General features: G+C 37.9%; 1 long non-coding RNA gene across 10 annotated transcripts in view, besides 1 other annotated feature; it reads right to left on the reverse strand.

Moving 5' to 3' along the window:
• Nucleotides 1-25,047, reverse strand: part of MIR100HG (mir-100-let-7a-2-mir-125b-1 cluster host gene) — a 394,543-nt gene that overhangs the window by 138,239 nt on the left and 231,257 nt on the right. For 7 of the 10 annotated variants that reach the window (NR_137179.1, NR_137192.1, NR_137193.1 and 4 more), the window contains one exon: nt 13,769-13,831. This is a non-coding gene — a long non-coding RNA (mir-100-let-7a-2-mir-125b-1 cluster host gene). Of the gene's footprint in view, nt 1-13,768; nt 14,066-25,047 lie in introns of those variants that run through there. The other 3 variants (NR_137184.1, NR_137185.1, NR_137183.1) reach the window with 1 other exon arrangement.
• Nucleotides 13,560-14,759: an enhancer, noted in NCBI's record as "MED14-independent group 3 enhancer chr11:122050835-122052034 (GRCh37/hg19 assembly coordinates)". NCBI's record gives its function as "activates an origin of replication core promoter dependent on BRD2, BRD4, P300/CBP and CDK7 cofactors, and independent of MED14, by STARR-seq in HCT116 cells {active_cell/tissue: HCT116}" and the evidence as "EXISTENCE:reporter gene assay evidence [ECO:0000049][PMID:35650434]".

The raw sequence follows: 25,047 nt of genomic DNA on the forward strand, positions 1-25,047 counted from the left end.
TCCCATCAACGGCCAGGTTTTTGATGATTCTGTTGTACCCACCTCATCCAGCTCTCACCTCACTGGAACTATTAAAAGGCATCATAGTAAAAAGAAAGGAACTTTGTAGTCTTTGAGATAGACAGGACTCCATTTGAATCCAAGGTCTGCCATTGGGGGACAAGGTAATGAACTTTTCTCTATTTCCTTATCTATAAAATGATATAATAATATCTACTTCGGAATCCATCAGGATGCTATTTGTAAAAGGTGAAAATGTAAACGATTTACTATTCATCAATATGGGAATCATCAGATACATCACCAGTATTGATGAATATCAATGCTGAGGGATACTCTGTAGCCCTTATAAAGAAATACTAGACATATATAAAGCAAGAACTGACAAAGAAATACTTTTAAGACATATTAAATGTAAAGAACAAGTTGAAGAGAATATATGTGATTATACATATATATATATATATATATATATATATATGAAATATTCCCAAACTATGCGGTTATAATAGTATACAGGCTTACTGAAAGGCAGGGAATGAGATAGGTGAATGAGATAAACTGTATGACGTATGTATAAATAAAGTGCTCAAGAAATGGTAGTTACTTCTGTTACTATTATATGAGTTCCTTGGAGGTGTGACTGTGTTTTAATCTTTTATTTGTAGCTCCTGGCAAACCACAGAGGCTGACTGAGTAAAAGAAAATTACTCAATGAATGACTCAATCAGGAATTAATTGTTGAGTCAGTAAATACGAGCACTAATGTGAATTACAAAGACTCTTATGTATTGTTTGGAATGTTTTCGAATGTAGGGAGGCAACATAGTCCTTTGGGAAGAAACAGGACTAAGAGTCATAAGGCCTTGATTCTTGATTAGTGTTTCTTAAAGTGTGGTCTCAGGACCACCTGCAGCCAAATCACCCAGGAGGCTTATTAATTATTAAAGATTCGTGGGACCCACCCCTGATCTGAATCAGATTCTTTGAAATTGAGATCCTGGGATCTGTGTTGTAAACAATTTTTCTTTTTTTTCAGCTTTTTTGAGGCAAAATTGACATATAGAAATTGTACATATTTAAGGTGTACAACTTAATGTTTTGATATATGTATACATTGTGAAATGTATATATTTTGATTTATGTGTACATTGTGAAATGATCACCACAATGAAGCTAATTAACACATCCATTACTTCACATACTTCTTTCTCTTTCTCTCTCTTTCTTCCTTTCTTTCTCTTTTTTGTGGTGAAAACACTTAAGATTTACCTGCTTAGCAAATGAAAGAAGACACAGAAAAATGGAGACATGAATAGTTTCTTCAATAAATGATATTAGAAAAACTGCATATCCATATGCAGAAGAATGAAATTAGACCCTTGTCTCATATCATATACAAAAATCAACTCAAAACAAGTTAGAGACTTAAAAGTAAGATCTGAACCTGTAAAACTACTCGAAAAAAAAATAGGAAAAACTATCCTGACATTGGTTCTTGGCAATACTACTTTGGATATGACTTCAAAGACACAAGCAATAAAAGCAGAAATAGACAAGTAGGATCATATCAAATAAAAAGCTTCTGCACAGCAAAGGAAACAATCAACAGAGTGAAAAGGTAACCTACTGAATGGGAGAAAATATTTGTCCGTCATATTTCTGATGAGGCGTTAATCTCAGTCTATTTACAGATAAAAGTTTGAGAATTGCCGGTTTAGATCATGTTCTGACTTCCTGTTTGACTTTGGGCAAATCACTAACCTTTCCAGAATATAGTTTCTTCTCTACAATGTAGTGGATGGATCTTAAATGCACCTTGAAGTTGTAAAATTCTACACCCATGACTAATCCAATTCCCTGACTTTAGGTAGGTCTGTATATAAGCCATATAAAATGAACTATTCAAACCTGGTTTGAGCTGTCTTTGGTCCTTGGGCTATCATTTGGACACCTTTCAAATTCAGAAGCTGCTTCCTATTCACCCATGCTCCTTATAGTCTTTAATTATTAAAACCAACTAGTAAGGACATTATCTGAGCATTGGTTCTAAATGATTAAAACATACCATTTTAATTTCTAATACATTTGTATCATAATTATAATAAATATATTAACATAATAACTATAACAAATAATATAACAAATATATTCTCTCTCACACACACACAACACAACACACACACATAAGAAAGGTAGAATAATATAAAGGCTTTGGAACAGATATGAAAAACAATGTTAGGGAAAGATTACTGAAAAATGCCAATAAAATATCTCTCTTTGGCCTTGGGTATTTATGAAATAAGAAGAATGTGTCCAGCCATTTTTATGAAAATTAAAAGCCAAGAACACAGATGGCTGAGTTGAAGGGAGCTGTATAGCATATTTTAAGTGTAGAGGACAAAAAATGGCAAGTGATAGTAACACCCAATAAACCCCAAAGGTTTTAGAAGGCAAAATCCAAAACCAAATTAACTTTTCCTTTTGTCTTCAGATACAGAAGCGTTTCTTAGAGTCACCAAGAAAAGGCTCTACGTCTTAATAAGAATGTTCTGAAAGAGATTTCTACCTAAGAAAGGACTTTGGAGTCAATAAATCTGGATTTCAGTCCTCTCTACCTTATTTATTAGGGGTATGGTGTTGGATGCCTTCCTTAGCCACTTAGAGCCCCAATTTTCTTATCTGTAAAATTGGAATAACGATGAGATATATTTCACAAGGCTATTGGAACAATGCAAAGAAATAGCATGTGACAGTGCCTAGCCTTGTGCCCAAGATGGATTGAGATTTCAGTCAATATTGAAAAGAAAACACACTTCATTTAGCCATGGCATAGAAGGTAATTGCCCCTTGAGCCCTGCCTTGCCTTTGCCGGTGAGCCTGACAAAATAAAGTGGTGATTTAGGACTATTTAAAGGGCCATGCCCTTGAAAATCTCAAATTGTTTTAATTCTAGAGTTTCTATGTTATTCAACTGTGCTCCATATTCTTTTAGAAATTAAAAGCAAATCACAAACCTTATTATAAGTCCTTTTATCAAAAGCTGGAGTCTAAAGACTCAGAGACACATTGAAATGTATCTTATAAGGGAAGGCCAAAATTATTGATGCTAACACAGGGTAGTGATTTTGGGCTAATGAATTACTAGGGTCTAGAACCCTGTCTAACACACAGCAAGTACCAAATATGCACTAAATGAACACAAGATTGGATGCTTCTAGCTATTTTAAAAGTGGGAACAGACTTTAAAAAAAAGGTTAATAGAGTATGGATAGTAGAGACGGTGGGGCTAAACTCTAAAATTCACTGGAAATCTTAGGTCACGGTTAAACAAGACATCTGGAAATAAGCTAGTCTACCAATAACCTAGATTGCTGATGCTATTTAAACATTTGTCATAATTCTAGTAAACTCACCGCTATGGTTTGAATGTGTCCTCTCCAAAATTCAGGTGTTGCCAATATGGTAGTATTAAGAGGTAGGGCCTTTAAGAGGTGGTTAGACCATGAAGGGTCCTCTCTCATGAATGGGGTTAAGGCCCTTATAAAAGAGACTTCACGCATCATTCTGCCATGTGGGGACACAGAGGAGGCTGTACCCCTCTGGAGGATGTAGCCTTCACCAGACAACAGAACCCACCAGCACCTTGATCTTGGACCTCCCAGCCTCCAGAAATAGGAAAAATAAATTTCAATTTTTTACAAACTACCCAGTCTGTGGTATTCTGTCATAGCAGCACAAAGAGGCTAAGACACTCAGGTTCTGTCACCTCAACAATACCAAGCTTTTCCTTGAAAAAGTTTCTAAGGGAGAGAGTTAAAATTCCTTAAGTGACAGCCACCATCTTCAGAATTCTTTGGGCCTAAAAAATAGAGTACTAAGAGCCTTTAGATGTGGTTTCCGACTTTCTTACTGTCCCTCTCCTTCCATATTACTCTCTCACTCTCATGTCTCCCACTCATACTCACTCTCATTTTCACCTCTGAGTTAGACATCTTGGCCTGCACCTTCCTTAGACGCAGTCTCACACATTTCTTGTTCACTGCCATGTGCCCATCCCTGGCATACTTTCGGGCATACAGAAGTACACAAAAAATAGTTGTTAAATAAATTACATATTAGCTGAACAAGTCAGGGAGATTTCACATCAGGTAGAAAATCTCATTGTTTTATCTCTAAAAGTATCCCAAGTCATTTGTACTATACTCCACTGTTTCTTTTTGCTAGGCATATATTATGCATTTCATGTACTTATTTGTTCACTAGCCTATGGACTGTGAGAGCCTCATGAATGAGGAAAATATCTTCCTCCTCTGCATCCTCCCACAAAGAGCCACTTCAAGGCTCCACCCACAGTGGTTTGTGATTCACCAAGCATGGCTGACTGACTCAGAACCAACATGATACTTGCAGCCCACTCTGGACCTTCCATGGGAGAAGGGACCACATCTCACTCATCCTGGCACTTAGTCCAGTGCCTGACACACTAAAGACACCCAGTAAATATTGACTGAGGAAGAGAGAGAAGCAGTATGAGTGAATAATACTAAAAAAATCCAAATGTTTCAGCAAAGCCAAACATGAAGCAAAATAAACTAGTGTGCTTCTTCCATTCATTGTATCCTGCATTCATTCAACAAGTATCTACTGAATGACTAGTTTGTGCCAACCATTGTGCTTGGCACCAGTGACTTGCAGATGAATTATATATGAGTGAGAAAACAGGTCTGCATGGAATTTCCACTCTAGCGAGGAAGGTGGATGATACACAAATAATTGCATGTGTGCTAGCATTGTCCATGGGCAATGAGAAAGTACATCTCAGCCAGGTGCGGTGCCTCAAGGCTGTAATCTCAGCCCTTTGGGAGGCTGAACAGGTGGATCATGAGGTCAGCAGATCGAGACCATCCTGGCCAACATGGTGAAACCCCATCTCTACTAAAATATAAAAAATTAGCTGTGCGTGGGGGCCTACGCCTGTAGTCCCAGCTACTTGGGAGGCTGAGGCAGGGGAATCGCTTGAACCAGAAAGGTAGAGGTTGCAGTGAGCTGAGATAGTGCCATTGCACTCCAGCCTGGCAAAGAACAAGATCCCGTCTCAAATAAAAAAAAAAGAAAAGAGAAAGTACTTCTCTTGTAGAAGTGTTGAGGAAGCACAAAGGAGGCAGGTGAGCAGGGAGAGATGAGGAAAGGAGGAAAGAGGAGACTAAAAATTCTTCAACAAAATTCATCTGCCTCTGCAACAAGGAACTTCTTTTTTTTATTTTATTATTATTATACTTTAAGTTTTAGGGTACATGTGCATAATGTGCAGGTTAGTTACATATGTATACATGTGCCATGCTGGTGTGCTGCACGCATTAACTCGTCATTTCGCATTAGGTATATCTCCCAATGCTATCCCTCCCCTCTCCCCCCACCCCACAACAGCCCCCAGAGTGTGATGTTCCCCTTCCTGTGTCCACGTGTTCTCATTCTTCAATTCCCACCTATGAGTGAGAACATGCAGTGTTTGGTTTTTTGTTCTTACGATAGTTTACTGAGAATGATGATTTCCAATTTCATCCATGTCCCTACAAAGGACATGAACTCATCATTTTTTATGGCTGCATAGTATTCTATGGTGTATATGTGCCATATTTTCTTAATCCAGTCTACCATTTTTGGACATTTGGGTTGGTTCCAAGTCTTTGCTATTGTGAATAGTGCCGCAATAAACATATGTGTGCATGTGTCTTTATAGCAGAACTTCTTATAAAGACAAATGTGCTCAGTACATCAGTCACTCCTTAAACTTATGGCTTAGTGTGACGGCAAATTGTGATATAGCAAACAGATATATTTTATGCATTAGCAATATTGACATGCATCAGCCAAAAAAACCCAACATTCCCATTTGATTGACTCATTTGACAGATTCAAATGCCTGTGCTCAAGTGTAGTCTGGGCTCCCTGACCTTGGTACTAACACACGAGATGTTTCAGTATGTTTCAGCAAGTTGTTAGAAGTGGTCAGATTTTGTTTAACTTAGTTTTCACAGAGATATCTGTTGCCTTGCACTTGGCAGTCAGTGTAGTATTTTTCACCAGGGATTCAATCTCAGTGGGAAAGAGTAGCAGGGATAGAGGATGAGGAGGAAAGGCATCTGGGAAATTTTCAAGGTAGAAGCACAGGAATTTAAACACTAAATAAACTACTTGAAAAAGGAACCCAGAAGTGAGTTACAACATTGTTTTAGAATAAACTCAAGCTCAAGTGCAACTACTTTAAACATCAAGATGAATAAAAGGAAAACCAAGGAGTTCCAGTATTTGGCCATACACAACCCTTTGATCTGGCTCTGACAAATCGTCTCTGTTCCAGATTTTTACCTCCCATAACCATACTGGCCTGCCCTATACCAGAAGTGAAGTCATGGACCCTGATCTCTAACATAGGACCTTTGTATTTGCATTAGCAGGAAAGATGGGGGAAGACTCAAGCTTACATATGTGGAGAAAAAATGAGTGTCCCCCTGTATTGGCCTGTATACAAAAGGAGTGCATGGAAGCAAGAAAATAAATCTTCAAACAGAATATTTCTTATCACCAAGCATGTCCTTTTATCCAGGTTCTCAGAATTTTCTTTTGGTCCTAAGGAGTTACCATGTAGAAATACAGAGGCAGACAGCCAAGGGCTGCAAACAGTCCTACCACCTAGGTGGAAGCTCTGGATAAGTTGCTTAACTTCCTCATAATCAGTTTTTTCCATCTAAGACATGTTGAGTTGGAGAGTACATAAAGTCACCTGGCACCTATAGATGTCTAATAAATATGGATTACTTTTTCTCATTCCCTAACAGAAATACCAGGTAAGAACCAAGGTTGCGTTTGCTTAAATGTTTTTGTAAAACAAGGAGGGTTAATGAGCAGTATAAGCAAGGATACGAGGAACACACCTGAAATACAGTATTGAGTAACCGAAGGTGAATACAGGACTCTTAGAGCAATACAGGAAAGAAAAACGGCACTGTTCCTTTGGGAGATAAATTCTTTGTTTCATTCTCTTTTGCTCTTGTGACCTTCCTGTTTCTATGGTCCTTGCACATGCCCACTTGCTTCTGAATGCCCCAATGCCCAAGGCTCAGTGACACCTCATGAAGAATTTGGCTGCTGTAGGGAGCTATATCCCAGCCACGCTGCTATCCTTCCACCCTAACTTCTCAGGCGAGTCCTCCCACTGGGACAACAGGCTCTTGAAACTTCTTGCAGCACATGCTGTTGCCCTTACTTGGTTGGACGCCCCTGAGTCAGGCAGGCCCATACCATTCTAATTTTGCTTGTTATTTCTTTTATGAAATCCAAGATTGAGATAAAGAGGGAAGGGTGCACATCCACAAGACTGCTGTGGCCTCCTAAAGAATTGTTCTATCTGAACGAATGTAATGAGAAAACTGCTAAGAAACTAAATGGCAATTCACACACTCACAAAGGTTCACTCAAAAGTCTTACATCCATAGTCTGTAAAATTTCTATTTGTCATAGAAAACAAACATAGAAGGCACTTTCTTTTAGTGGTTTTTCAGTTAACTGAGCTTCCAAAATATTATGTTCATCAACACGTTACACAGAGGACTATTGTATTTTCCTTATGGGCATAACATAAATAAAATATAAATAATAAGTTATTTACATTGTAATATAAATATCCATCTAACAAACATTTATTTTGTTTGTTTTTATTATTATTATTATAACCTTCTGTGGTTAAGCAATGAGCTAGATGAACAGAAATGCATACATGGAAGAAATTTTTATATTCTCTTGAATAGTATTTATTGATATAGTTTAGATACAGATTTCATGAATATACAGTGAAATATCCTGCCACATTTTTCAAGTGCATCACATTTAGCTTTCATAATATTTTTATAAACATAACATTTTCACCCTTAGTGCATTCTTTCTTCAAATTATTTTTGGCCAATCCCACCAAACTGCCATCTCTAGCTTTAAAAAAAAAAAGTGGGATTCCCCATTTAAGATGATGCTACACTTGCTATGGAAATATTGATTCTAAAAAGAAGGACTGAGATCAGGTAGTGTTGGACTCAAATGCCAAATAGAAGAGAAGCACATTAACGCCAGGATGATGAGTGTCCTCACATAAGGCCATCCTTTCTTATAGTTTCCAAGGTAAGTCATGTTTGCAGGGGTCTTTGGAGAGAAGAATGAGGAATAAGAATAAGAATGGAGAAGAGAAAGACAAGTAAGGTAGGAAAAATGTCTGTAGCTAAAATACACATTACATATCATTAATAAATTTTAAAAATTATTAAAACATGTTCATTTCAAAGAAAAGTAACACTTGTTAATAGGGTGCTGGGAGTCTAACACGAATTATTATTTGCCCATAGGAAGTAGGCTTAAAGATGAGAATATGGCATCTCAGAATATGAGATAACATATTCTCAAAGTGGTGATTAAATCATATATTACTGCTCAGTCTTAAAAAAAAAAATGAAATCATGTCTTTTGCAGCAACATGGATGGAACCGAATGCCATTGTCCTAAGGGAAATAACCTCGAACTAGAAAGTCAAATACCACATATTCTCATTTATAAGTGGGAGCTAAGCAATGGGCACACACAGACATACAGAGTGGAAAAATAGACATTGGAGACTCCAAAAGGTGGGAGAGTGGGAGAAGAGTGACGGTTGAAAAATTCCCTGTTAAGTACAATGTTCACTATTTGGGTGATGGGTTCACCAAAAGCCCAGACTTTACCACTGTGCAATAGATGCATGTAAGAAATTTGCACTTATACCCCCTAAATCTGTAAAAACACTTTAAAAGAGTTGTGGTTAAAATATGTTGATACTTATGAGGAATCTCATAATGACTCAGTGAATAGACAAAGGCAGGAAAAAGTTAAAAATGCAGAAGGGAAGAAGACACACGGCACTGGCCATCAGTCCACATGCTCTGGGGACATGAGTTCCATGGGGCTCCCACCACTATTAGCTACTGGTTTTTGAATACTTCTCAAATGCCCGGTGCATTGCACGATTTACATATATTCTCATTTAATTCTCAATGGCATAATGAGGTGGGTAATATTTTCCCCATTTTAATCAATTTTCTAAATAAGGATGTGAGACATAGAGAAGTGGCATGTCTAAGCTCACATACTCAGGAAAGGTAGAGGCAGGGTCTAAGCCAGGACCCAAGCTTGCCTTGTGTTGCTTACCTCTGATCAGTTTCAATCCAAAATTCAAAGTGGGAAATCTAGTTGTAAGGAAACAAGGGTTGCTTCAGAATATTTTCTCCATCTACAGTAGTGACTCTTATTATTCATTGGGTCTCAGACTCCTATAACAATTTTATAAAAGTGGTAGACCCTCTCCTTAGAGAGAGGCATATATGTTCATAATTGTGTGCATGTGTACTTTTCAGGGATTTCAAAACTCTTCAAAACCAAGGCTAAGAAACTGCGAACTAAAAGTTGCCACTAAAAAGGGACCTAGATCACAGATAGAACCTGACCGGGATGAGTGCACAGAAATGTCTCCTTGGCCAACCCAACCCAGTTGGTGCAAATCCTCTAGTGTAAGCAACTCTTTACAAGCATAGAATTGACCCTTAATAGGACTAGTCATGATGGACAGAGATCCCCAATGATAAAGGTATTCACAAAGAACACAGGTTACAACCCAATTCTTGAGGGACCCTTGAGTGAGCCAGATGCAGTGTGCAAGGGAGAAGGAAGAACGTTGCTAGAATGAATGTCAACTTTACAGTTGGGCTGTGCCTCTTGGTCATGACCTTGAGGCTCGGAGAATTGGCTCAGACAGTTCTGAACAGAGTAGCCATTTTACAGACAGCCCACAGCCCAGCAGGTCACCGCTCTCTAACTCTGCCATCATGACACCGCCATCTGCAGCCACTGAGCTGAGATTTCTCAAGACCAAATTTATCACGCCCGAGATTCCATTCTTACATAAGAATCACCTGTTGCTGATGCATAAATTTCGGCACCTAGCAGAGCCAAGGGTAATCAGGATTTAAAAGGAAGAGGCCTGAATAAATTCAAGCAGATTTCCTCTCTGTGGGACTGAGTCTTGAAAAACCTTTGTGCCCTCATCTGCCCCTCAACAGAGACTGTCATTTTTCTACTTTCTGTCTGCATCACTATTGTCGAGGGAATGATGCTCTCAGAGCCACAGGCAATCTGTCTTCTTGGAGGTTCTGTTCCAGCTCTGACCTCGGTTTGTTGCAGTTTATGTCTCTTCTCACAAGTTTCAGCTTGCTCTCATCACCAGCTAAATTAACCATAAAGCAAAACCTTGACTCACATTACTGAAGCCTCAGAGAAATTGGTAGAAGCCCGGAGTGATGCATCACTATATCAAATAAAGCACTTTGGATCAATGAGAAGATTCCCTTGTCTTGAAACCTTGGAATGAATGTACAGGTGTGCTAGATGACAGCAAAGAAAATGCCATTTGAAAGCATTGGAAGGAAGGAGAGTTGTCTAAGAAGTGGTGGGATAGGGACAACACTGGATGGTGGGAAGCATCTAGGAAGGAGGGTATTTCCGAAACTAAAAAAGGGCCAAGGCCAAGAAAATCACCTACAGTTCTATTCAGTGAAATGTGGGGAAATTAAATTAGGGTTAACAAATATCTGAGAAGGTCTGCATCTGTGACCTTGGGCAAATAGTTTCCTTCTCTGGGTTTCCATCTGTAAAATGCAGGAACAGAATGGAGGCTTCTTCCAGCACTAGCATGCCAGGATGGAAGGTAGAAGAAAAGGCCTTTGAAGCCAACATAATTACTCCTCTGTCCAGAGAAATATAAACAACAATAACTCCAACAGCCTTCAGCTCTGCTTTTGAATGAGTTCTTTGCTTCTGCCTGAGAGGTAAAGTAGTTCATTCCTTGGGGAAAAGTTGAATGTGGAATGCTAGGCCATGCCCTTCTCACTTTGGTTTCATTATGTTATTTCGAATTATTAATACAAAGAACATTCAATGTAAGTTAACAAGGCTTTACTGAGTACCATGTATCCAGGCCTGCAGTTGGTCCTCTAGGGTAGATGAAGAAAGAGTGTGGGACAAGTTCAGGGTCTTCAATTCCCTTAATCTCCCTTAACAGAGGTTTGCATGTCCCATTTCAAAAGCCAAGCACAAAATCAGCAAAAATGAGGCTAATTGTTTAAATACATCTTACTTCTCTGTATTTACATAAGCAATTGAATTGAATGAAATTTGCTAATTTTGATGCTCTTACTAATACATACTGCATATGTGTTTCGTATCTTTGTTGTGTATGTCTATGAGAAGCCTCACTTTGGCATTTATAGGGTGTGCATTGGCTTGATTCTAGTCAGATGCCTCTGGGTGAAACAGAAATAAAAGTCAATCAACAAACTTTTGACTTTTCAAGCAAACACATGCTTATACATTTTGAAGTTCCACTGAAGTGCAATCTCTGTATGACGTGAAAGCAAACTAAATGAATCATTTTGTGGAAACTACTCTAATTCCTGAGTATGCACATTGGTTAATATTTTTGCATATCTCTGGAACACCAATGCTGCTTCATATTAATTACTGGCAATGTACTATTATTCTTTAATGAGTACTTATTTTTTGATACCAAGTAGATGATCAATTATGACACCTTCCTCAGACTCTTGTCTTCCTTTGAGGTTTTCTAAAACCAATCAATCAATTTGTTGTAAATGGCAATCACATCCAAAATATGCCTTGGGTACAAAACAGAACTTTTCAAGAAGTTAAGATGATCCAAATGAGGTTTTTCCAATGCAAATTATCGTCATGACCACCTGAAAGTACTTTTCTTAAATGTTCTCTATAAATACTCCTGTGTACTTTCAATTACATGTATGTAAACACGTAAGGATGATATAAACCATGATTCCAGTTACATATTTCTAAGCACCAAGAATGAGGCACCAAGAATTAAGGTGCATTATTCTTACTTAAGAACTAATGTACTATAATATACCATATTGCTATGTTTTTCTTCCAATACCCCAAAGCACTATTTTTGGAACTTGGGTGTTCAGAATTGAGCTGATTATTATATTCTTCGGTTCATGAAATGTCAAAGCACTTTTATTCTGCTGCCCGTATGGTGAACACAGTAAGAAAAGAGAGGCAGGTATTTAGGGTGACCAACTATCCTAGTTTTCCCCAGGACTGAGAGGCTTTTGGGACATAGCACTTGCCATGGGAGTGGCCAAGGCAAATAAGGGACAAGTTGGCCATCCTGCAGGTATTATCATTCCCGTTTATAATTGGAGAAACAAACGTACAGAGAAGCAGAATGTGTTGCCCAGCTTACCCAGGAAGTGAGAAGCAGATGTGGGACTGAGTCCTATGTGTTCTAACGACAGCCAGTTCACAACTACACAGATCAGTACTACTTCTTCTGCACCTTACTTTCTCCTTGAACTTTAAGAAAACCCACGTTGTCTTTGCCTTTTTGTGTGCTACCCTTCCAAAAGTGCTAGGTTGAATACCATGGGCAGTACTGAATGGGGCCCTTTGTCTATGCTGCAAATTACTCAGGAGAAACAACATTGCCACTTTGTGTTTTAGAGAGAGGAATGAGACGTTATAATTATCACAGCGCTCTAAAGCAGAGGAAGCACTAGTACAAGTTCTGTCTACCCACCAATTATCTGTTAAGACCACTAAGATATCTGGTCTTGACTGGGCCAGATGTATAATTTCATGAAACAAATCAACCTAAATGAACCTCAGGAAAAATGGCCAGGTAACCACCTTTTGAACCACTATACGCTGACAGCTAACATTTACTGAAGGCTTACAGTGTGCTGGGCGCTGTGCTTAGAGCTTTATAGGGATTAATTCAATTAAGGCTCACAACAATAATTCCATGAATTTGCAATTATTGTTCCCATTTCACATGTAAGAAAAAGGAGGCTGAGAGAGGTTAAGTAATTCACCAAAGCCCACACAGCTGATACAGGTTGGAACTTGGATTTAACCCCAAGCAGTCTGACTCCAAAACAAGTGCTTTTAGCCACCCAGTACATCACTTTTAATAAAAACAACCAAACAATGTTTAATCTGTCCAAACAGTGTTCTGACTTCCAATCACTGAGGCAGTTTATTAGGGTAGATCCAAAACTAGCTAGACTGCAAATTACTGTGAAGCAAAGCAGGTATGTCTGTCTACCTGTTTAGGTCAAAAGGTATGAGGCTTTCTGGTCATAGGCATTAAAGGATCTGAAGGGAGAAATTTTAATCTGTTGATTAATTTAGGAGATTAACTGCCCTGCCAAGCTGCTGTCATGTCTTCAGTACCTCTATTTCCTTCTCTGAAAAATGTAAATAATACATCCTGAGCTTCTATAAGAAATGACGGTGTAAAACAACAGAAAGCACTAAGCAAACTGTAAAGTGCTTTAAAACAATTATTTCATATGTTAAGCAGCTTACAAAATAGCAATTTCTTCAAATGCCCTTGCAAAGCAAATGAGACACAGCTGCTAAAATGCTCTGCAAAGAGGCGGAAATCCAGCTCTTTAAAATGTCCAAGGGGAAAACGCACACTGTAAAATTACTCCAAAGATGAATTTTACAAGAAGGATGGAAGTGTCATCAAGTTTTTCCATGGTTAATTCTAAAAGAGTGCCAGCATCGAAAAGATAAAAAAAGGCAGTTCTTCAACAGAAACCTGGGAAAATATTCTTCAATGACGTTGCATAATAGAAATAGGAATTAAACTTACCTGAGGAGCAGAAGCGAGGAAGCCAAGTTTATGAGTTCTTCTCAATTTTGTCCAAAGACAAGTCTGTTGGGAATAAAAAATATTAAGAGAACTTAAAAAAGGAAAAAGGAAAAGGGAAAAAAAAAGGAAAGTCAAGAAGGATGAGCTGTCGTGGAATGCTGTGAAGTTTGAGAGTGACTCAGCACTAGCTAAGGGGCAGCAACAATTAAATGAGTTTGTTGAAAGAACCCTAATAAAACTCAGCATTCCCTGTAATCTCAGAACAAGGTTGCACCACTAAAGAAAATGTTAAACTGTGCATTAGGGGGGCTGTGGTTTCATGAAGTTGGTTGGGGGTGGGGGAACTCAGGGCTGAGTCACTGGCTCCTTGGAGGCAGCACCATTGGGTCTCTGCCCTCTTGCCTGTTTCTCTCCCTCTCTCCAGGGAGTTCAGTTCCTCTACAATTAGCCAAAAGAAGCAAGTGAGCTGGCCATTGAACGATGACAAATTGTGATTCACTTGTAGCATAAATTATAAAATACATACACTGTATAAATAAGTCCTGAGATGGAGAGGGGAAAAGAACTTCTGCCACATCTGGGCCCACGAGAATCATGAGTGCAGGTGCCTGTTTCTAGATGGAAGAGCAACTAGGTTATCCAAAATGGATGCTGAGCAGATTTTTAAAATTCTCTGGGAAAAAGAAGATCACAATTCCTCCTAGTAACTAATTTATATCTTTAGTTACTCTTTCTAGCCATTAAGCCCCATGCTAAAACTACCCTAAATCTCTCCTGTTCTAAACTGGCCTTGGTGGTTGCGGGTGGGCAAATTGTTTTTTCATTATTGAAAAATATAAATCCTTCATATATTTGCACAGAGTTATTCTTATACTAAGCTCAGAATGGAAACCAGGCAGTTCTCCTCTCCCTTCCAGAATGAGAATTCTCCACCTCTCCATCCAAGTTACAGAAAGAAAGAAACATTTTGAGGCTCTGGCATCATGTTTTCCTGTTTTCATGGGGTCAGCTATAGACTCAGTGAAGAGTTTACATGTTCACGTCTTTAAAAAAACACTCAAAGGGTTAAAAACTGGAGGTTTGACATTTCCATAATAAGTGTTCTAAATGCTTGTATTGATATATATTTTGTTCTAGAATAAACTCAGGTACAAAATATAATATTTGTAAGTTGTTCTGCCAGCCAAACTGTTCTCCTTCATTTATAAATGAAGTTGCTAAGTGTTCAACAACTGATTGCCATAAATGAATGGGGTATGACATCCTTCCAAGTCTCCAAAGAGTTGCTACAACTTGGTTTTCCCCTTGGGAGAAAAAAAAAGTTATTGTTCTAATTGATTTTTTCTGTTCTGAATAGAAAAAAATAAATTAGATCCTTCCTTCCTTCCTTCCTCCCTCCCTCCTTCTTTCCTTCTTTCTTTCTTTTCTTTCTTTCTTTCTCTTTCTTTTTTCTTTTCTTTTTTTTCTTTCTGTTTTCCTATTTCTGCATTCCTACAGGAAGAGAGAAGGAATATTGTGCTTTTCATCAACCACAGCAAGAGTCATTTGAGTTTGAAACACAGCTAGTTTTTAAGGAAACTATACCATGGTCTTCTGGAATGGGAAAAGCTTTTTCTTTCAAGGGACAAAAGGTGAGATTTTCTTTTTGTCTTCAGCCTTTACCAGTACAAAAGAGTGAACCATCTCTACATACATGTTCAGAGGCAAATCCGATGACTAATTGCAGAGTAAGCAAATTTCTTGATTCTGATCAAACCAGCAACATGCATTTGAATTTAGGTTGGATTTAGATGAGCAAGTCAATAACTTAGAATAGTGAAGACTGAGGACTTAGGAATCAAATCCCATGGTGACCTTGGTAAGGATTTTGCTCTTTTATGGACAGCTTAGTAGATAAGGTCAGTCTTTTAATTTACTTAACAAATTGCAGACAGCTCTCCCATTGTAGCATTTAATCATTTCCTCCCAACTCAATTTCCTCATTCATACAATTGGGTTAATACAACTTACTCTGCAGGGCTATCATAAGGACTAAATACAATGTGTATCTAACATGCTTACTACAGTACCTGGCACATAAAAGCTGGACGAATTGTTTCTTTCAATTCATTCTTTAAATTCATGCTTGATAAACTGATGCTGGCTATAGTAATCTTCTGTCACCCCCCACCCACAACACACACATACAAACCACACACACACACAGCAGCTAACTAAGAACAGCGCCCTAATTTTGTCAATTTTATGGAATTTTTCTTAAGGAATCCCATCACCATCTTATACCTACTACAGTAATGTATTAGTCACTTACCATGGGCCATGCATTGCCCTAAGTTACTTTACATGGACAATATCACTTCATTTCCCCTACAACCCTATGAGCTCAATACTATGGTTATTCCCCTTTTGCTTCAAATTCACTTGATCACTAATATGAAAGAATCTTAAAAAGTATTTTTAAAACATCTATCTTATACGTTTTATTATTACAATGGACTGAATATAAGTGCCCCTCCAATATTTATATCTTGAAATCCTAACCCCCAATGTGACGGTATTAGGAGGTGGGGCTTTTGGGGAAAAATTAGGTTATGAGGGTGGAGCCCTCATGAATGGCATTAGTGTCCTTATAAAAGGGACTGCAGAGAGTTCTCTTTCCACCATGTGAGGATACAACAAAAAGTTGGCAGTGTATAACTCAGGAGAGGAACCTGCACAACCAGGCGGGTACTCTGATATTGAACCTACAGACTCCAGAAATGTCAGAAATAAGTTCCTGTTGTTTATAAGCCACCCAGTTTATACTATTTTGTTATAGCAGCCCAAACTAAGATCATTACAATTGCAAAACATTTATGAAATAGCTTACTGAGTTGTGTTTTGTAAATTTTGTTCAAGCAAAGCACTAAAATATAGTTTTTAACCTCCAAAAAGTGACTTTTTTTTATACCAGAGAAGAAACAGAATTTAGATTAAAGGGTCCACTATGTCTTTTTAAAAAATCATATAGGTGCTTCCTATCTCTGATTTAAGTTTATGTACTTATTATAAATAAGAATAGTGGAAGCTCCTGTTTATATCTGTTTAAGATTTGCAGCCAATATCTACAAAGTACCAAATTGACAACACTGATAAGATGATGGGGGCCAATCATCTTGTTGAAATGAAGAGAAAGAGATGGCTAAAGATTTTTCATAGAAATTACTCCACCCACATACAACATCTAAAAAAGTTACATTTATGCACATTTAATTGGCAAATAGAAAAATTTATATATAAATATCCCTATTTTTGAATAAATCTGAAGGTTAATGAAGCAATGAAGAATGCCTGTGCTTAATACAGAGACATTCACCAGGAAAAGAAGTGTCCCTAGTTGAAAAGATATTAGATCCCTATTCTAAAATCTCAATTGCTTCATGCAGAAAAACTCCTAAAATAGAACATTTATGGCATACTTTTTGTATTATGTTTGGCTGTGTTTTATTTTTTGAATAAATACTTATAGAGGCATATACCTGGGCTTCATTTTCTTTTGAACAATTTTTGAGATTGTGTGAGATAATGTTTCCTACTTCATGGAGAAACTAGGTGATAAAAAGGAATTTTACAGAGGGCCTTACTGCTATATCTACTTCATCCCCAAGCAGCATTACTACCCTAAATATGCCTGTTACTATGGATGGAAATAATCTATATTCTCTTTGAAGCCAAATCTTCCACTTGGACATTAGATACTATCACTGTTTTCTGACTCAACAAAATTGCTTAAGGAATTCTTGCTATCTTTCCTAAAACATGAATCTCTCTCTCTCTACTGGACCATTTCCATCAGCACATAACCATATTGTAATTTCTCCTAATCAAAAACAGCAGCAATAACAAACCCCTTAGGTTGACCTCACTTTCCCCAGGTGTTTTCATCCAATTTCTTTACTTCCCTTTGCAGGAACCTCAAGAGTTGGATTTCCTCACTGTTTCAAGTTCCTCTCCTACCATTCCCCATTAAGCTACTTAAACCAGGCTTTAACTGTCACAACTCTACCAAATTATGTTCTTGTTCAGGTCACCAGTGTTGCTCAGTTGGAAAATTCAATGAGTGACTTTCAGTATTCATCATACTGGATCTATCAGCAATATTTGTCACTACTTTTGACTCCCCTCTACTTGATGCACTTCATTCTCTTGGTTTTTAGGACACCACAACCTCCTAGTTTTTCTTCTGCCTTGATAGTCACACCTCAGTCTCCACTTATAATTCTGAGGACCCCCAGAGCTGAGTCCCAGTCTTCTCTACTTTATTTATACACACTCACTTGATAATATCACTCAGCCTCACAGTTTGTAATCCCAACATGTTGGTGACTCCTAGGTCTCCATCTTTGGCTGGGGGAAGTTGACATTCTGGTTAGCTCCAAATATGCATGATCAACAACCAACTTGACATCTATAATTTGGTGTCTAATAGTCATTTCAATACCAGTATGTCCAAAACCTAAAACCCAATATTCCTCACAAACTGGCTCTTCCTATAGCCATCTCAGTCAATAGCATCTCAATCCATATCTCAACCCATAGCTATATTTCTAGTTGCTCAAGCCAAAACTTTGCTTTCTTTTCAACTCACACTCCATATCCAATCTATCTCAAAATCCTATTGAATTTTGATTTCAATATATATCCATATGCAGACTACTTCTCATAACCTCTACTGACCAACCTATGGCCTGAGCCACATCATCTTTTTCTTGGGTTACTGGCACGGCCCCCTAATTAGTCTGTTTGCTTCTATCCTTGCCCTGCTCATCTAGTCTCTACATAATATCCTGAAAGACCCTTGTTAAAAAGTCAACTCTTCCTCAGCACCTTGAAGTAACACCCATTTCACTCAGATTAATGCCAAAGTCTTCTATCAGTAACCTGCAAAGCCTCATGGGGCCTCACCCTTGCCTCTCTGTTATCTCTCTGACCTATAATGCATTCCCTTCCATCTCTTTGAATCAGCCATGCTGGCTTCTTTGCTGTTCATTAAATGCGCCAGGCAGTCTCCTGCCACTGGGCCTTTGCACAGGCTGTTCTCTCTGCCAGTGATACTCTTCCCTGGATATATACTTACAGTCTCACCTGCCTCAGATATTTGCTCAATTGACACTCCTATTTAAAATTGCAACTGTGCACATGGTCCTCCTCTGCCAGTGCCCCACCCCAGTCTTAAACCTAATCACTCTGCTTTATTTTCATCTTTTCCATAGCATTTACTATGAAGAATATAATATATTGGCTGATGTACTGTTTACTGTCTGTCTCCCTGTGCTAGAATGTAGATTCTGCAAGGGTAGGGATTGGTGTCTGTCTTGGTCATGTCTTTTTTTAAGTCCCTAGAATAGTGCTTAGCATAGGAAGTCACACAATGGGTGTTGAACTGAATTGAATAAAATGAGCTTCCAGGAAAAGAACCAGAATTGATAACATTGTACCTATATGAAATAAGAACTTGACTTAAAAGAACTTGATAGAGAATTACTGTCTACTGACTGATTAAATCACAAAGCAAGAGGGTAGAATACCTGAATACACGGCCTGTTTGTTGGAAAAGAGATGACAACCTGGAATGACCACCTGAAAGAAAATGAAAACATATCTCCTCTCCCTTTTTTTAAAAGATTCTGGCAATATATTTTCAGATGACTCCAGAAGGAGCTTGGAACAGACCACAATAATATGTCCTACAAAGTCATGAAGGAGCTGAGCTTAAAACTTAACCTAAAAAAAAAATCTGTTTCTCTATATCTAGGGTTCATTGTAGTTCTATACAGACACTCTGACCCATAGATGTCTGCCTGTGGCTTGTGCTATTGATGGCTTATCTACGTCCTATTTCATTAAATCAGTCTCAGAAAAGAGCAGCAGTCCCACGGAATGTTTATTTTCACCAGGCTTGGCAATCTTAAGGAAAATCAAGTAGCACAGTGTTCTCAAGGTATAGTCCCCGTCCTGTGGCATTAGCACCACCTAGAAACTTGTGATAATTGCAAGTTCTTGGGATCCACCCCACCCCCAAATTAGAATTTACAAAATCAGAAGAAATTTTAAGGGTAGTACCCAGCCATCTGTGATTTAACAAGTCCTCCAGATGACTCTGATGCCCATTCAGGTTTGAGAGCCATTGAGGAAGCAGAATTGTTCATTTACAAGTTTACAATGACTTTCTTAGCAAGGCAATCTTAGAATACAGACTTCCTCCACTGATTAATGCAATAAATTTGCTCTGTTATCCAACACCCAACAATGACTCAACAGACTTCTCTTTTGCACTAACCTTTGCGAAATACTCTTTCTGGGCATTCTGCCTCAGATTAATGAGAAAGTGGTAGACTGCTCACATATTCCAGAAGCCTGAATTAACTGATTTCATAATGCTCTGAGCTGCTTGGCTCCAGGTTCTTCCTGTTAAGATTTATGAACCCAGACTGTAACACCATTTCTCAACATATCTTCAAGTTGATGATTTCATTTCAATAGTAAAGTTGACCATAATGGAAAGTGAATTAAAGGAAATCAAACAAACAGATATCGAGGGTTGTGTGAATTTGTCAAAAATGACTTACTAATTAAAAATATTAATTCACAAGTAGGTCACCAAGAGCCCCTTTGCTTTGATTATTCATGTAAAGCCCGTTAGTCTGTAAATTATTCACTTAAAAACTAGAACTCCATCTAGTCTATGAAGTCTAAAACAAATATTCCTTAAGGTCAAATTTCCTAGGACTCTCACATTCCCATTAAAGGTAGACAGAGATCCCATTTAACCGATGACAAAACAGAAGCTCAGAGTCTTAGCTAAGGCCACATCATTATGGACAAAGTCACAAGGCTCAGATTTCTTGAATTTTCTTATAGATGTCAATTCAATTGTAATTAATAATGTATTAAGTACCTGCTCTGTGCCAGACCCTGGATTAGGGGATGGGGCTACATAAGTTTCTTTTCTTTTCTTTTTTCTTTTTTTTTTTTTTTGAGACAGAGTCTTGCTCTGTCACCCAGGCTGGAAGGCAGTGGTGCAATCTCAGCTCACTGCAACTCCGCCTCCCAGGTTCAAGCGATTCCCCCGCCTCAGCCTCCTAAGTAGCTGGGATTACAGGCATGCACCACCATGCTGGGCTTTTTTTTTTTTTTTTTAGTAGAAACAGGGTTTCACCATGTTGGTTGGGCTGGTCTTGAACTCCTGACCTCAAGCAATCCACCCACCTTGGCTTCTCAAAGTGCTGGGATTACAGGCGTGAGTCACGGCGCTCGGCATAAATTTCTGACATAGTCCCTGCCTTTAAGGAGTTCAATGCAAGAGACCCTGTCTCCCTGATTATTTAATATCTTTCTTTGGCTGACTTCGAACTCCAGTGAAGTAATGAAAGGAATAGTAATGATTGTTGATTTTTACATTGAAGAAATCTTGTGACAGAAAGAATTTCACCAGGAGGAGAATCAAGGTCCTCACACTGACCACGCACTATTTAATCAAGGCACCAAGATGTCCTATATCTTGGTGTTGAAGAGATTAAAAGTGCCCTATTGTGGGCTATTAATATTTCATACCATAACACAATGTAGAGATACCATGTGAAAAAATGATGAGCTTGTAGAAAAGGCAGTGAGAATTGGAGCTCAAGCTCAGAGAAGAATAAAAGCTAAGTATGAACAAGTCACATTTTACAATTTAAAAATAACATGATGTTCAGATATATTCCCAAAACAAAGACATAGTAGAACTGGTCTGCACTCTTGTTATTCTCTTCATTATATGAGTACAAGGTTGAGTTTGGGAGGTCTACATTTTTCAAAACACTAGCACCACCACTTTAGCAAATGTTCAGGTTAAGGCAATAAACTTGTGTGGCTGGGAACTGGAGACCAAGTTCTGGTCTCCACTGTAAAACTTACTGACTTTATAACCAAAGGTAAGGTTATTTTGGGTGGTGGAAAAGGTGAAAATAAGACAACTGCAGACAGGACTTTTTAAGGAAATTGAAGTTTTCCATAAAGCATTAAAAGCTATAGAAATATAAGGTCATATTTATTCAGTCACCATTTTAAGCACCTATAATATACTCTGAGTAGCACCAAGTCCTGGGGATACCCAAGTGCATATACTGTCATCACGTGGCATCCATGAAGAATTGGTTCCAGGATCCCCTGCCAATACCAAAATCTGCAGATGCTCAAGTCCTTTATATAAAATGTCTAGTATTTGCATGTAACCTATGCACATCCTCCTGTATACTTTAAATCATCTCTAGATTACATATGATATCTAATAAAATGTAAATACTATGTGAATAATTGTTATATTTTATTGTTTAGGGAATTACAAGAAAATAATCTGTAGGTGTGCAGTACAGACACAACAATCCTTTTTTTTTCCAAATGTTTTTGATCCAGAGTTAATTGAATCCCCAGATGTGAAATCCATGGATGTGAAGGACCAATGGTAACAAACCATTGGTGTTTTTTATTCATTACTAGAATAGCTGGGAAACATCCTTAGAACATCAGTCCAAAGTGACTTGAAGTGTAAAAAAATTGGATATAAGAGAGCTTTTAAAGAGAGTTAAGTTTCCTTCATTAGAAAAAAAAAAACTAGGGAAGGTAGGCCTAATAACTTTAAAAAATTCATGGCGTCATTTTAAGAAGAGCTTAGGTCAGCCAGTATGAAAACAAAGAAAAAGAAAAGTTAGCCTCAAGTCATAGAGGAAAAAAAAAAAAAAAGATTTGGAAAGAGATTAGGGAGACTGATTTTTCTGGAACACTAGAGCTAGTTATTGGGGGAAAAAAAACCCCGTGGAATTGCTCTGCTGGAAGCATTTGGAAAGTAATTAGCTAATTCTCTTTCTCAATGTGTTTAAAGATAAGACTAAAAGTGGGTGCTAGAATACTCCTTTTCTTGAAGCTCCGCTTCTAGAACTCTGAATGGCAATGAGGTGGATTAAAAGTCTATTCTCTTCTCCCTCCCTTATTTGGCTGGCATGTCTAATTCCAGAATTGGAAACTCATAGACATTGCTATGAAATGTATCATAGATCATGACTCACTATGAAAAGGACAAGTGTGCAAGTTGCCTTACCAGTGAAAAATCCTCTGCCTGCCCTCTTTCTTCCTGAGACAAGACTTCAGTTCTTTCTCTCTGATTCATATCCTGAGGAAATCAACATGATAAAAAATGGCTGCGTTCAATTAAAAAATGTCTCCAACCCACACTTTAAAAACATAAGCTCTTTTCAATCCAGATATGGATTATCTTCCTGAGAAAGTCTTTTCCTTCAGAAGAATTTTGTGCCATTTAAGATAGGCAAAACAGGCAGAATGCCATTCCTGCAATGAAAGTTACGCATTTAGCCAACAGATTTGCAAAGTGCATCTGCCATGGCAATGGATTTAAAGATGGGAATTAGTAGGAGAAAGAACTATGGTTTATTTGAGCCCACCAGCATCAGGTATTCTAGGTACTCTTCAACAGCAGCAGTTAACATTAATTGAATGCTTGCTAGGTATCAGGTACCATTCTAAGTTTTCCTTGCATTATTTCATTTAATCCAAACAAGTTCATGACATAAATCCTATTATGGATCCTAACTCACAGATGAGGAAAATGAGGCTCATCAGAGGTTAACCAATTTTTTCAATATGAGGTAGCAAGTAGCAGAGAGGGCTTTCAAATCAGAACTGTCTGACATCAGAACTTAAACTTCTAACTATTCCTCATACAGTCTTTTAGGAAAAGGTAGATACAAGATCTCCATTGTGGATATGAGAAAATGGAAACTCAGAGAAGAAGAGTAGCTTGATTAAGAGCACAAAGATTACTGATGTTTTTGGCCTAGGATTTGAGCTCAGGTCAGGAGGACTCCAATGTTCACGTTCCAGTCATATCGATAGAAAACCTAGGAGATGAGTAGATGTCCTGACATTCATTCCACGTAGATTATTTTTAATTCAAATAAGCAAATGCCCACTATGTATAAAACTCTGTACAAGTCTTACTGCATGTAAGACTTTGAAGATAGTATGAAAAAATTAAATATATTGTACCTGCCTCCAATGAACTTTAAATTCTAGTTGACAGAGAAAACACACAGATGAATAAACTAAGATCAGTTGCAAAGTATTGTGACACCATAGGTAAAATAATATCCTACGCATTAAATAGATTCAGAAGAAATGCTGGGAGAAGCAGTGATTAGAGAAGAAAATTGATCAAGAAAAGCTTCCTTGGAGAGGTATAAAATGATATGTATGATGAATAGAGTTGATCCCATTGCCTGACTCCCTGTCTATTTTTGTGGGTAGAAAAAAAAAGATACTTTGGAGAACCTATATGGAGAGAAAATATGATCTTAGCACCTATGGGAAACGTCCTATGAAAGATACGGCTCACAATTACAGAGCCATGGAAAGGTTGAAGGACAGGGAAGGATTTCTCTGTGATTACAGTTAAAACTACTAGTGATTACTCTTTCTCTTGGCTAGTAGTTTTCCATAGGGTCCCATCAAATATAAACTATAATAGTTACAGATCAAATCTACACTCATTCTTTATGAAAAAAAGGCAAACAGCCAGAAGAGAGGGAGAGGAAAAGTTCATTTCAGCATTTTCAAGGGATTTTCCATGAGATCTAGCCAGTAATAGAAGAGAAAAAAATTTTTTCTGAATAAGGAATGGGCTCGAATGCTGATTGCTTATTTCACCTCCCACCTCCCCGGCAAACCCCCAATTTAATAAATAATTGGCTATTAAAAAGAACCTTTGGATGGTAAGCATGTATTCCTCAGTTATAAGATTTATCCAAGCTACGTTCAACTTTTTTTCAGTCTAAAGCATGGACTTCAGCCTTCAAGAGGACTATTTACTGAGACTTCTGTAAGAACATTATCTTCTTATAAACTAGAAGCAAGAAGTATTCAAGGTGTTAATGAGTATTACTAAATAAAACAGTTCTAAAGTCAAATCACTGGGAAAGCAAATGTTTTACTTTATTGTATTATTTTTATTTTACAGCCTTAACTATGCTGATGTACATTTTGAATGTCCAGTGGGGACATATTCAGGATTTCTTAAACTTGTTTGACCTTAGAATACCTCCTTATTTTGTAGAATTTGTATTGATATCTCATAGACTTCATATTCCAAGAAAAGAGTCATGCTCTCTTTCCTTACATAAGTTTTAGAAAGGTAGCTCTTAGAACAGTTAGGTCCAGGTGGATGCAGTAATGGATGGAGAAAGAGG

The sequence above is a fragment of the Homo sapiens genome, chromosome 11 (genome assembly GCF_000001405.40).
Source record: "Homo sapiens chromosome 11, GRCh38.p14 Primary Assembly".
NCBI classification, from domain to species: domain Eukaryota; kingdom Metazoa; phylum Chordata; class Mammalia; order Primates; family Hominidae; genus Homo; species Homo sapiens.